General features: G+C 42.2%; 1 protein-coding gene across 49 annotated transcripts in view; it reads right to left on the minus strand.

Moving 5' to 3' along the window:
• The window catches only part of TSC1 (TSC complex subunit 1), a 54030-nt gene that overhangs the window by 15309 nt on the left and 24589 nt on the right, over positions 1-14132 (minus strand). For 27 of the 49 annotated variants that reach the window (NR_176216.1, NR_176214.1, NR_176218.1 and 24 more), the window contains 6 exons: positions 5625-5800; positions 4796-4911; positions 4345-4456; positions 3914-4035; positions 644-713; positions 74-178 (listed from right to left, as the gene is read on the minus strand). Coding sequence is in view for 44 of the 49 variants with exons in the window: in XM_011518979.3 (XP_011517281.1) it covers positions 74-178; positions 644-713; positions 3914-4035; positions 4345-4456; positions 4796-4911; positions 5625-5800 (701 nt within the window). In the remaining 5 variants the exon portion in view is untranslated. Of the gene's footprint in view, positions 1-73; positions 179-643; positions 714-3913; positions 4036-4344; positions 4457-4752; positions 4912-5624; positions 5801-14132 lie in introns of all 49 variants that reach the window. The other 22 variants (NR_176217.1, NM_001406620.1, NM_001406625.1 and 19 more) reach the window with 2 other exon arrangements.

Genomic DNA, 14132 nt, shown 5'->3' on the forward strand with positions numbered 1-14132 from the left:
GGCACAAAATCCCAGATTTATAGCAGAGCGAGGGTCAGGTTTTATCAACTCATAGCAATCCCACATACATTACCTTCTTCTTTATCTTTTTCAATACTATCTTCTTCAGAGGCCAGATCACCTAAAAACCCTGGAAGATCACTTAGAGTGACAGAACCTTTGCTGCCAGGTGGCTCTTCTGAAGAGAAACAAAGACAACTGAAGTCAAAGAAATACAGTGTAATCCCTGTAAGTGTAAAACTGCTTACACTGTATAGAATATGTCTGTAATAACTCTTCATGCTGAACAGAGAAGGCTGGACATGGCTCTGTCCTGGGGATACTACAAAAGACTGAAATATTAAAAATAATATAACTAAAAGTACCAAAAATAATCCCATAGCAAATAAAATTCTCAGTTCTTAATGTCTCTGAAAAGAGATATAGTCAAGTCAGAATACAGGTACTTCACTGCAATAGCTTAAAAACTGTTTTTGATATTATTAGGTTGGTGTTTAGAATTCACTACTCGTTTCATTATGTTTAGGCCTCAGTATTTTGGATATCCCAGAATTTCCTTGTTTCCATTTAACTTTCTTTTCTTAAACACATATAACCCAATTAGAAGAGGCAAGCAAGGCCTGTAGTAACGCAGAAATTTTACCTGATCCTCTGTCATTCAGAAGATGGTGTTGTCTGTGTAGACATGGTCTTGCAGAATCCATTCTCTCTTCCTGAAAAGATAAGTATCATTTATATCACAAGACGAAAAATGTTGCACATGTTCTCGAGCATATTGTAAAGTAGTTTAAAGGTCAGCCGAGTGCAGTGATTCTCAAATTGTTGGGATGTTTTCTTTTCTTTTTTTTTGAGGTGGAGTTTCGCTCTTGTTGCCCAGGCTGGAGTGCAATGGCACAATCTCGGCTCACTGCAACCTCCGCCTCCTGGGTTCAAGCGATTCTCCTGCCTCAGCCTCCAGAGTAGCTGGGATTACAGAAATGCACCACCACGCCTGGCTAATTTTTGTATTTTTAGTACAGACGGGGTTTCTCCACATTGGTCAGGCTGGTCACGAACTCCCAACCTCAGATGATCTGCCTGCCTCGGCCTCCCAAAGTGCTGGGACCACGCCCAGCAGCTTTCTTTATAGTCTTAAAAAATGGCTGCAGACTGGGCGTGGTGGCCCACGCCTGTAGTCCCAGCACTTTGGGAGGCCAAGGCCAGTGGATCCCTTGAGCTCAGCAGTTTGAGACTAGCCTGGGGAACATGGCAAAACCCCATCTCTACAAAAAATTTAAAAAGTAGCCGGGCATGGTGACTGGTGCTTGTAGTCCCAACTACCCAGGAGGCTGAGGTGGGAGGACCACCTGAGCCAGGGAGGTCAAGGCTGCAGAGAGCTGCAATTGTGCCACTGCACTCCAGCCTGGGCGACAGAGTGAGACCCTGTCTCACACACACAAAATAATAATAATAATGAGAAAGTTGGAGAATCCCAAGAGCTTTTACGAGGCATAATTATTATATTAGAAAACCAGGAAATTTTTAAAATATTAATTCCCTTAAAAATAGCAAGCCCATTACAAGTTAATGTAAATTACATATTCTTATTAAAAAACTATATTTCCCGAAATAAAAATAAATTTAGTGAGAAGAATGGAACATTTTTGCCATCTCTTTAATATATGGCTTCATGAAAGACAGCTGGATTCTCATATCTACCTCTACATTCAGTCTGTTGCAATATGTTATTTTGACTGAAGTGTATAAAGAAAATCTGGGGCCCCACAGATATGTAATTGCAAAAGTAAACATATGTGTTGTTGTTTTTCTTTTTGAGACAGGGTCTGGCTCTGTCACCTAGGCTGGAATGCAGTGGCGTGATCATGGCTCACTGCAATCTCTGCCTCCTGGGCTCAAGCCGTTCTCCATCAGCTCCCCGATTAGCTGGGACTACAGATGCACATCACCACACCTGGCTTTTTTTTTTTTTTTAGTTGAGATGGGGTTTTGCATGTTGCCCAGGCTGGTCTTGAACGCCTGGGCTCAAGCAATCTACCTCCCTTGGACTCCCAGAGTGCTGGATACAGAAGCAAGCCACCACGCCCAGCCGCAAAAAGTAAACGTATGTTGACAGACTTTTCAAATAATCATCTTTGTTATTACACCAAAATTTGATAAGTGTTAGTTTCTTAAAGTTACAAAGTGAAATTTGAAACCACATCAATGAGCTTTTCCTGTGTTAAAACCCACTAGTCTACCTTGCACTTTTTTTTTTTTTTTTTGTGACAGTCTTGCCCTGTTGCCCAGGCTGGGGCTGGAATGCAGTGGTGTGATCTCGACTTACTGCAACCTCCGCCTCCTGGGTTCAAGTGATTCTCCCGCCTCAGCCTCCCAAGTAGCTGGGATTACAGGTGCCTGCCACCATACCCGGCTAATGTCTATATTTAGTAGAGATGGTGTTTCAACATGTAGGCCAGGCTGGTCTTCAACTGCTGACCTCAAGTGATCCACCTGCTTCAGCCTCCCAAAGTGCTGGGTTACAGGTGTAAGCCACTGCGCCCAGCCTGCTTTGTACTTTGAATGTACTTTTTACCTATGCATGATTCTGCAACGTATCATACATTGGACACTCTGAAAATATTGGCTCCTCAAGCTATTCAAATATTCCAAATGTTGAAACACTTCATTATACAATATCAAAAACTCAAATTACTAACTAAGCTTCCACAGACTTTTCGGTCTCATCATAAAAGTCCTGGGGCAGCTATCAAGTTCATGGTAGTATATACACGTTTTTTAATATCTTGATTTCCACCTGAGAGTTGACTTTTATTGTTGGCAACAAATACTGTCAGTTGTTTATCTTGAAGTGACAGACTCAGCTCATCATTTGAGAAGCTGCCTGCCAAACACCCAAGTCTGAATAACCAGTTTGTAAGACAGCAGTTCTTTCAAATAAAACTGGCATTCCATGAAAAAAGGCAGCTACTTCACCTCTCAATTCAAATAACTGCATGAGGGCCAGAGGTCACCATCATACCCTGGTATGCAGTACATGTGCCTTATGCATATTTTCTATTTTGCCACGAAGAATATTACACATACATGTTCTCAAGGGCTAAGATTTAATAAAATTAATAATGGTTACTGCTTAATACAGAACACTCAACTTTTAAAATTTTTTAGTTTTTATTGTTTTTAATGGAGAGAAGATGTCAGGGAAGAATGCAAGGCCTCTTGGGATAGGACACTTCAATGCCTGCCTTGATTCAGGCTAAGTTGCCACCATTTCACCCCCCGTCGTATTTGTGCCATCATTGCAGATGCCAATGCAGTGGGAAGGGCAAATGACAGCTTAGTGTTACTATGAAGGTGGGTTTGGTCAGGTGTGGTGGCTCAAACCTGTAATCCCAGGATTTTGGGAGGCCCAGGTAGGAGGATCGTTTGAGTCCAGGAGTTTAAGACTAGCCTGGGCAACATAGTGAGACCTCATCTCCACCAAAAAAAAAAAAAACTTAGCCAGGCATCATGGCACATGCCTGTAGTCCCAGCTACTAGCGAGGCTGATGCAGGAGGATTGCATGAGTCTGGGAGGTCAAGGCTGCAGTGAGCCATGATCGTGCCACTGCACTCCACCCTGGGCGACAGAGCAAGACCCTGTCTCCAAAAAAAAAAAAAAAAAAAAAATCAAGAGAGTAGGTTTGACCTGCTGGGTTCCCCACAAGAGTTCTGCCAAAGCAGAGTTTTGGAACCACCCAGGGGTCGGCAGATCACACCTTGAGAGCAGCTTGTTAGTCCATTTTCAATTATTCTGATTCAAACCCATTGCATTTTAGGTCAGAATTCTATCTGGCATAATTAGGCTTCTCAAAGTGAGGCTTGCAAGTGAGTCACTGTGCCTGGGCAGAGGGATAGCAGACGAGCTGGATCGCACCTTCCTGGGGGGTGTGACTGTGGCCTGGGGGAGTGAAATGTGCACGTAGTCATCCGAATGACAGAGTGGGGCTGGAGGAGGAGAGGTTGCTGGGGTTCCCAGAGGAGTTCCTTTTCCACCTGCTTAGAGACAAGGGCAGAACATATATGAACACTGAGCCCAACTATTAGAAAAACTGCCGATTTTTTTTCAGCCTATAACTATTACTATAAATAAAGCTGCTAGAGTTAACTTTCTGGGGATCTAGATCAGTCTCTCTCTTTTTTGTTTTTAGGTTCACTTTACACATTCTGAAAGCCCCAGGGATTTGCAATAAGTGTCAAAAACAAGTTTACAACAGCAAGTGGTCCCTTAGATCTAAAAGAGAGCTCCTCCTGCCATTAAAGGCAGGCCAAAACCAACTAATCAAATCCAACCTAAGACATACATACCAGTTGTACCAAAGACTTTACTGTAAGGGTGTGACAGATCAGGTGGGACATTTCCAGGAGAAGTTGGAGGAGTGGTCATACCACAAACCATAGATGGGCTCCAAAGAGTAGCCTGGGAAGTTAATAAAGTACATCAGCAGTGGCAAAGGAATGCTAAGTCATCCACGAGGTTTATATCCATGGCCAGTGTTCAGCTTAAATTTAGCTTTTTCATCTAGAAAAAGGCATCTTATTAAAAGCGTATCAAGAAACAAGTTGCATTTTGTAAATCAAGACTTCAAGATGAATCTAAGAGGCAACAGTAACTTTCTTTGCTAATATCATGGATCCTTAAAAGTGACTCCTGAAATGAGCAGTGTGAAATTTTCCCAACCACATACTAAATCTGACCCAAAGGGTCAGCTTCACCAGAAAGCAGAGGAGAGAGCAGGCACACTAGTTGACACCATACTTGTGGTGGTTCAGTTATCAGCCGTGTCGATGGGGAACTCAGAGTCTGAGGTAGCTGCCCTGGCATATTTAACAACATCAGCCGAGACGTGGAGTAAGGGGTAGAAGTAGCACACCCTAAAATGGAAGAGAAGAACACAGGGGGTTAGTGTGTGGTTTTAGGTTATTCTGGTTAAAAAAAAAAAAAAAAAAAAAAAAAAAAAAAGATGGTCCTCTAGACCATTTGATAATATTCAATTCTCTGTACCTAAAAAATCTGAGGGACTTAACTGACATCCTTGGGGACAAAGTAACACTTCAGAGTTTCTCTAAATGCTCCTTTGAAATAAAGTTCAATAAGGTTTGATGTCTCATTAAGCCTCAAGATAACTTAAAAAAGCACAATACAGATGACAACTTCAGTGGCTGCAACCCACAAATAAAGCCTAGATTTTTATATGAATCCAATTCTAAATTGTTCCGACTCATTCAAACTGTGTCAGTGCTACAGACACAAGAGCCTCACTCTAAATGTCTGAAAATCAGAAAGATTCCCTTATGAGGTAGAGTCTGGAAGTCAAATACTTAAACCCATTTTCTTTCTTAAGTGTTGGAGACACGTCACCAACTCTGTTGGCATACAATCAGGTAGCAGACCAAGGACATCTAAATTAAACTTGAAGGAGAAATTAATTAGAAGAAAATGGAGGGACATGCAAATTTAAGATATTTTGGGAAAAATCCCTAGGAACTGAACTAAGTCTTACTCCAGAAAAGAAAATCAACAAAGACAAATAATGTTTTCCAGAGACAAAGTTGCAAAACAGATAAGTACCAAAGACACTTTTTACCATAGCTATTCTGTGTGTCAGCATAAGGGCTGGTGGTGACATCGGCTGAACGATGAGGAAAGCGGGCTGAGATTTGGTGAGACACAGAATAGCCATCTTCATATGAGGCTTCTGTGGGATCCAGAGAGATTTTGGCACACTCGATCACAACATCATGAGTTTCTAATCTCTTCCACCTGTAAAATGCAATGAAAGTCAAGAAATGCAAACTGTAATCAACTGAATTAAATACTTCAGAGTGTCAACTCAGTGCCAGCCACGGAACTCTGATAGCAAAGAACAAGCGGGACCATGCCAGCCCAAGTCTGAAACAATTCTAGTACATAAAGAAATAGCCATTCATTTTACAATCCTATACCTTCCCTGTTTAAAATGGTTATATCAAGTTTACAAGCTAATCTGAAACAAATATTTCCTCAACAAAAGACTAGGTGTAGCCTCAAAATGGAAAAATGAAACATAAGCTATGCAGCAGAGCAGCAGGCAGGGAAAAATGTCCTTTGGAACAAAGGTCATCAAAAAATAGGGAGACCTGGAGACTGCCAAGCAGCTGAGGCTGACTTAAGGTCTCCTATCAAGGCCTCAGGTGTCAAATCCATCCCTGGACCAGAAACAGAGTATAAAAAGACAAACTAAAGAAAGTCCATGAGAATTTTTTTCTTTTTTTTTTTTTCTTGAGATGGGGTCTCACTCTATCACCCAGGCTGGAGGACAGTGGCATGATCGTGGCTCACTGCTACCTCCAACTCCTAGGCTCAGGGATCCTCCTGCCACAGCCTCCCAAGTAGCTGGGACTACAGGCACGTGCCACCGTGCCTGGCTAATATTCTTACAGAAATGGGGTCTCACTTTGTTGCTCATGCTGGTCTCGAACTTACTGGCCTCAAATGATCCTCCCACCTTGGCCTCCCAAAGTGCTGGGATTACAGGCATAAGCCATGACCATGCCCAGCTGAAGGCATGATTTTTTAAATCAACGTGTTAGTATGGCATAATTTGCTTACAATAAAATTAGTCAATCTTGCTAAGTTTTGACAAAAGTCCCGATCATAATAAAGAACATGTCCATCACCCCAAAAGTTCCTTTGTGCCCTTTGTGGTGAGTCTCTTCCCCCACTTCTTGCAACTATCGATCTGCTAAAAGCATGCTTTTTCAGGGGGTGTAATAATAGTTATTCTATAGAATATAACCCTTTGGTTGAACTTTGGGTTATTTCTTCTTTCCATTACAAGCTGTGCTGTGCTGAACACTGTTGTATGTCTTGACGTACATACAGAAGTGAGCCTGTAATCCCAGCACTTTGGGAGGCTGAGGCGGACGGATCACAAGGTCGAGAGATTGAGACCATCCTGGCTAACATGGTGAACCCCCGTTTCTACTAAAAATACAAAAAATTAGCTGGGCGCGGTGGCGGGCGCCTGTAGTCCCAGCTACTCAGGAGGCTGAGGCAGGAGAATGGCGTGAACCCAGGAGGCGGAATTTGCAGTGAGCCGAGATTACGCCACTGCACTCCAGCCTGGGCGATAGAGCGAGACTCCGTCTCAAAAAAAAAAAAAAAAAAAAAGTGAGCCAATGTGCCAGCCTCCCATGGGTTTTTTGTTTTGTTTTGTTTTTTTTTTTTTTTTTTTTTTTTTTAGACAGAGTCTCACTCTGTCACCCAGGCTGGAGTTCAGTGGCGCAATCTCGACTCACTGCAACCTCCACCTTCTGGATTCAAGCAATTCTCCTGCCTCAGTCTCCCGAGTAGCTGGGATTCCAGGTGCCCGCCACCATCCCCAGCCAATTTTTTGTATTTTTAGTAGAGATGGGGTTTCACCATGTTTGCCAGGCTGGTCTTGAACTCCTGACCTCAGGTGATCCACCTGCCTTAGCCTCCCAAAGTGCTGGGATTACAGGCGTGAGCCACTGTACCCGGCCAAGAATATTTTTAAAACTGTCTAAAGATTCCTGTTATGTGATCCATGGTTTCACTTCTAAGAATTTATCCTATAGAAACAGACATACAACAATGTTCAGCACAGCACAGCTTGTAATGGAAAGAAGAAAGGAAATAACCCAAAGTTCAACCAAAGGGATATATTTTATAGAATAACTATTATTACACCCCCTGAAAAAGCATGCTTTTAGCAGATCGATGGTTGCCAGAAGTGGGGGAAGAGACACAAAGGAACTTTTGGGATGATGGAAGTGTTCTTTATTATGATTGGGATTTTTGTCAAAACTTAGCAAAATTGATTAATTTTATTGTAAGCAAATTATACCATACCAAAGTTGATTTAAAAAATCATGCTTAAGGCTGGGTGTGGTGGCTCGTACCTGTAATCTCAGCATTTTGGGTGGCCAAGGCAGGCGGATTACTTGAGGCCAAGTTCGAGACCAGCATGGGCAACATGGCAAAACCCCATCTTAAAAAAAAAATACAAAAAAAAAAAAAAAATTAGCCAGGCATGGTGGCATGCACCTGTAATCCCAGCTACTTGAGTGGCTAAGACTCGAGAATCACTTGAACCTGGAAGGCGGAGGTTGCAGAGAGCCAGGAAAGCACCACTGCACTCCAGCCTGAGCTACAGGGCTAGACTCTGAAAAAAAGAGAAAAGAAAATCATGCTTTCAGCTGGGCATGGTGGCTCACACCTGTAATCCCAGCACTATGGGAGGCCAAGGCAGGAGATCACTTGAGGCCAGGGGTTCAAGACCAGCCTGGGCAACAAAGTGAGACCACACCCCATCTCTACAACAACAACAACAACAACAAAATAGCTGGGCGTGGTGGCATGTGCTCATGGTCCAGCCACTCAGGAGGCTGACGTGGGAGGATAGCTTGACCCTGGGAGGTTGAGGCTGCCATGAGCCATGCTGTACCACTGCACTCCAGCCTGGGCAACAGAGCAAGACCCTGTCTCAGGAAGAAAAAAAAAAAATCATGCTTTCCACGTGCCTGTACTCTCAGCCACCGGGGAGGCTGAAGCAGGAGGATCACTTGAGCCCAGGAGTTCGAGATCAGCTTGGGCAACATAGCAAGACTGTGCCGCAAAAAAATAATAATGCTTTCAAACATTAGATGACATAAAACGCTTATAATATAATCTTAAAAGAAAAAAAGACACAAAGCTATTCAGAGACACACCCGCAAATATATCTGACTGTAGTAAGTATTCAAATGAAAAGAAGTGAAGTTACGAACAATGTTCATTTATTCTTTCAACTCTTCAGTATTTACCAAACATTCTATAAAGGCCCTAATAATGAACAGAATATTTAAAATTAAACGCCTAGTCAAGCATAAACTATTTTCCTTTAGACAACATAACTTTGCTCTATGTGTTTCTAAGGTGGTTAGTAACTCCATCAGAGATTTGCATTTTTTTTCCAAGTTTACAGAAAACAGCACAGCAACACTAAGGGCACTCCATAGGTTTACCTTAACAAAGCATGTGATCCTACTCAACTGTTGTAGGAAGCTCATTATATCTTAGATGCTGAAAACACGGTATTAAATACAGAAAAGAAAGTGTCCAGGGCATGGGGAGAATATAAGGCAGCTTCCCTGAAGAGCGAGCCTTTCGATTTCAGGGCTGCCCCTTCATTCACTACCTGGGTTCTCACTGCCTGTGGGATCCTGTTAATGGGGATAGGCTCCTATTTATGCATTCTCAGCATGACTAGAAAGTGATTGAGAGCAGGCGTTAGGACACATGTGTACACACAAGAAGATTGATTTTAGAGGAGAAAATGAGAATCATAATAAAAGAGGAATACATTTAAATGTTTTATTTTAATCAAAGTAATTTATGCACTTACAGTATTTCCCTGCTTCTTAAAAGGACTTTTCATATTTTAATATCTAAAACTGGGAACCATCGTCTAATCAAATGCATGTTAGTTTACTTGGCATTTTTTTCTTTCTCAGATGTATATAAAATAGAAGTACAGCACACATCTAACGGCATCTGAGATCCAATGAAATATGGTAGTTTAAAAAGTCAATACGGTACTAAAGGTTCCTCCCATCCCTCCCCACTGCAACCACTCTGGCAGCTGCTTCCAATTCTGTTAGCTGAATTGTTATCCTGCCTCTATAGTTCTAAAGAATATGCCCTGTGCTTTTAATTTCTTGATTTATAAATTATAGACACCATCTATTAACTTACTATTAATGGGAAGTGAGGATTGAGGACTCTTCCATATATCCTTTCCCTCCTCCTCAATGCTCTCAAAATAAATATGTAACTGTTTTTGTTGTTTTCAAAATTGATTTCAACATTATGACTACCTAAGTACTACTCATGGCTGAGCCACAGAGTATACTATGATAATATTTCCTTTCTTGTAAGTTTTAATTGTTCTGTTTCTCTTCCTCACTTTTTTGTGTGTCTATTGCTAATTTTTCCTAAATGTATTCTAACAGCTCTGAAACAATGCCTAATATAACTTTTACTAATGAAATGCAAAGAATCCACCAGGATTATTCCTCATCTTCCAGAAGAGCTCCCTTCTGGAGCACTCTCTCCCTGGCTTCAGATTGGACTGGCTGCTCTCAGCACTGCCTGTTATCCTGACACTTTCCCTGGACATGGTCCTGTAAAACGGTCATGATCAGGCCCCAGTCTCCTGGATTCGGTCTTCCTCCTTCATGATTTTACTCTCATTTTGGTGGAATACATGCTCCAGTGATTAACTGAGGAAGGACATATGGGAAGGAAATTTGAGTCCATGCATATCTGAAAGTGTCTCATATTTGATAGACAAGTTGGCTGGCTATAGAATTCTAGTTGAAAACCTTTTTCTCTCAATTTTGAAGGTATTTCAGAAGCTAACAGCATTCTGATTTCTAATCCTTATTAATGTGATTTCATTTTTTTCTTTCTCTGAAAGGTTAATCCCTGGTACTATAAACTTTTACAATATTGAGACCTGGTGGCATTCTTTTTTATTGATTTAGCTGGGCACCAGGTAAGCCCCTTCAATCTGGAAACTCATATCCTTCAATCCTAGGATTTTTTTTTTGTTGTATTATTTCTTTCACAATTTCTTCCTCCACCAAAGTTTTCTTCTCTCTCTTTTTCTGAGATGGATTCTCGCTCTGTCACCCAGGCTGGCGTGCAGTAGCACGATCTCGGCTCACTGCAACCTCTGCCTCCTGGGTTCAAACGATTCTCCTGCCTCAGCCTCCCAAGTAGCTGGGATTACAGGCACCCACCACCATGCCCGACTAATTTTTTGCAGTTTTAGTAGAGAGGAGGTTTCACCATGTTGGCCAGGCTGGTCTCGAACTCCTGACCTCAAGAGATCCTCCCCCGTCCGCCTCCCAAAGTGCTAGGATTACAGGCGTGAGCCACTGCACCCGGCTCTTCTTTAAAAAAAAATTTTTTTTAATTGGATGCTGGGACTTCCTGAACTGATCATTCTAAATCTCTGTTCTGCTCATATTACCAAGCTCTATCCTTTGGTTCTGCTTTCTATTTACCTATATCTCAGAAAAGTATCTCCCAATTCTTTTACTGAAATGTTTATTTTGGCTATCATTTTTAATTTTGAAGAGTTCTTTTAGTCTCAAAATGGTCTTTTTCTGTGGCATCCTGATGCTTACATATGCACAAACATCTTATCTCTGTGGCTATGGTAGATATTTTCTTCTGCTCTATCATTATGGTTTTGTTCTAGCTCTCTTTTCTCCTCTTAATGTTGGTGTCTGTCTTTACTGTTAAAACCTTCTTCCAAAGCCAAACAATCTGCCCAGCCAAGGTGAGTGAGGCTCTCTATAAGCTGACTGAGGAGCCTTCCAAGTTAATATAGTTGGTTGAACATATGCACTCAACTGTACAACCTCCTGGAATCCCACTGTCTACAGTAAAGACTTCTTTGTTTTTAAATATAAACCCACAAGGAGGAGAACAGGAGAGAGGGAATAGAACCATAAGTTTTTGAAACTAAAAAACAGACAGGCAGGTGGTAACTGACACTGCAAATCCACAAAAGCAGAATCCTAAGCTGCCACTGTCTCAAAGTGAAGAGTCAACTGATTATACTACAGAATCCTTAAAATCATGAGGAACTTATAGCATCTGGTACTTCTGGAACAGGAGATGAGCAGCAGGTAGACAAGGGGAGCTAAAATACTGAAGACAGAGTGAAAACCACTGGAGGAGCAGTCACAACCCCTGGGTCCTGCCCCAACTCTACACTCCCAAGCAACAGCTCTTTTCTCACCAGAAACCTGGATTATTCTCTATAGAGAATAAAACAAGGAGTACCTGGATAAAGTATTCCAGAAGTAGTTGAGGGCATGAGTGCCATTCCAAATGAGGGGATTAAGTGAAGCATATACATTCTGAATGCCCAGACCACCAACCCTTCCTCACCACCAGCCTCTTTCCCCCCAGAGGTAGTCAGACCCCTACCAGCCTGAAAATCAGAAGACTACTTTCTAAAAAACATGACCAGCTCAAGAAGAAAACAATACCGACACCACTATTTCCAACAGATGCTCAGTTCAACATACAACAAAGCTCAAAGTCAACAAGTCCCACCACTGTGAACAAAGCTGTTTTGTCTCCCCATATATAAACAGTTTACTAGATCCTGGCAGAAGGCCTCAAAGATTTAAAAAGAATAACACAAAACCGAAAAGAAGGAAGCTTAGAAGAAACAGATTATGCAGGGAAAAGAAAACTCCTTGTATAAGTATACAGTCATGTGTCACTTAATGACAGTGACATGTTCTGAGAAATGCATCATTAGGCAATTTCTTTGTTGTGTGAACATCAGAGTGTACTCATACAAAACTAGATGTTATAGGCTCCTAGGCTACAAACCTGCACAGCATGGTACTGTACTAAAGACTGCAGTAACTGTAACAACAGTAGGTATTTGTGTATCTAGACATATCTGAACCTAGGAAAGGTACGGTAAAGATGTGGTGGTATAATCTCGCAGAACCACTATCATCTATGGAGCCCATCATTGACTGAAATGTCATTATGTGGTGCAGGGATGAACTGGATTTCTAGAAGGAAAGACAGAGAAAACAGGAAATCAAGCACAAAACAACTAAAGAAAATATCATAGAACTTGAAGAGCTTCCAGCTTGAACAATGAGAATAGATTCATACCAACATACATCACTGGAAATTTCAGAATATTATGACAACAAAGAGAACTCCCTACCAGCTCCCCTAGAGAAAAACACAGCAAATACAGATGATCAGAAATTCTAAGAGCAACATTGGAAGCAGGGTGGCAATGGAATAATGCCTTCAAATTACTGAATGCCTTCAAATTACCGACTCTCAACCTGTAAGTCTACACCAGCCAAAACACTGCATCCTTCCTCAAAAAGCTCCTAGAGGCTATGTCCTATTAAACAAGAGTAAACCAAGAAAGAAGACAAGATACAGGAAATGGGAGATCCTGCACAGGAGAGAGGCGAAGGAAAGCCCCAGGAGACTAGGATGACAGCTGGGTACTAGGCACAGACGAGAACCAGTTCGGATCAGAACAGCAGCTGCCAAGAGACAGGCATGTCTCAAAGTTCCTGCTGTCCTGCACTATCTTTTTAATGAGGGACAGAGCCAGGTGACCCTGGCCTGTATAACTTGTCTGTACTTAGCTTGTCTTAACTACATACTGATGAAATTCCTACTCTCCCTCCTCTGTCTGATCAGCAGAGGACATTCATTTTATCCCACAGAAGGATTCTGTCTGACCTATTCCTGAGAGCTGAAAGCAGGCGCAGAGAGCAGCTTCCCTGCCTGCCATATTTCACGCATGTCCAGTGCCTTGCCCTTGCTAGAAGCCTTGCCAGACGCTCTGATGAGGGTAAGCCTTGTGTTTCCCAGACTCATTCATGACCTTGTGCACTGACTTCCCAGAAGGGGCTGTGAAACCTCAGGGACAGTGAAACCACACCAAGACTCAGATGCGCTGGTCCTCCTCTCATCTCCTGGAAACCTTCAACTACTAGTGACAAGACTGCCCTTCTCTTAACCAGGCTTTGCCTCCTAGTCAACTAGCTTTTCAAAACAAAGCAATACCTACAGTAAAACTACAAAGAAAAGCAAGAGAATGATTAAAAGCAACAATGGTAGTTGTCTCTGAGGTAGTAGGGAGAAAAGAGGGGTTCTCCACGGGGAGCCTCTAAGGTACCAGTAATGTTCTGTTTTTTTTAAGCTAGGTGCCAGCTACATGTGTTTTTGTGTTATTATTAAACTTTACATACACATTTTCTATACTTCTCTACATATAATCTCACAATAAACTGCTTTAAGCTGGCTGAGGCTCTGTGTGGTAGAGGCAGTGTCTGTGGTGAGGTGAGATTCGCTGTTGGGGGATCAGGCAGTGAGCTAGCTTTTTCAGCAGGAGATCCCTAAGTGTCAGTATCCATGGGTCAGTTTCCCCAAAAAGGGCCAGCTCCCCTAACTGGGGAGCATAATAAGCCTGGCTACCAGGCAGAGACAAGCAGAGGGAAGGAGCTGGGCCTCCCACAGCTCAGTCTGTAAATTTCCTTTA

The sequence above is a fragment of the Homo sapiens genome, chromosome 9 (genome assembly GCF_000001405.40).
Source record: "Homo sapiens chromosome 9, GRCh38.p14 Primary Assembly".
NCBI classification, from domain to species: Eukaryota; Metazoa; Chordata; class Mammalia; order Primates; family Hominidae; genus Homo; species Homo sapiens.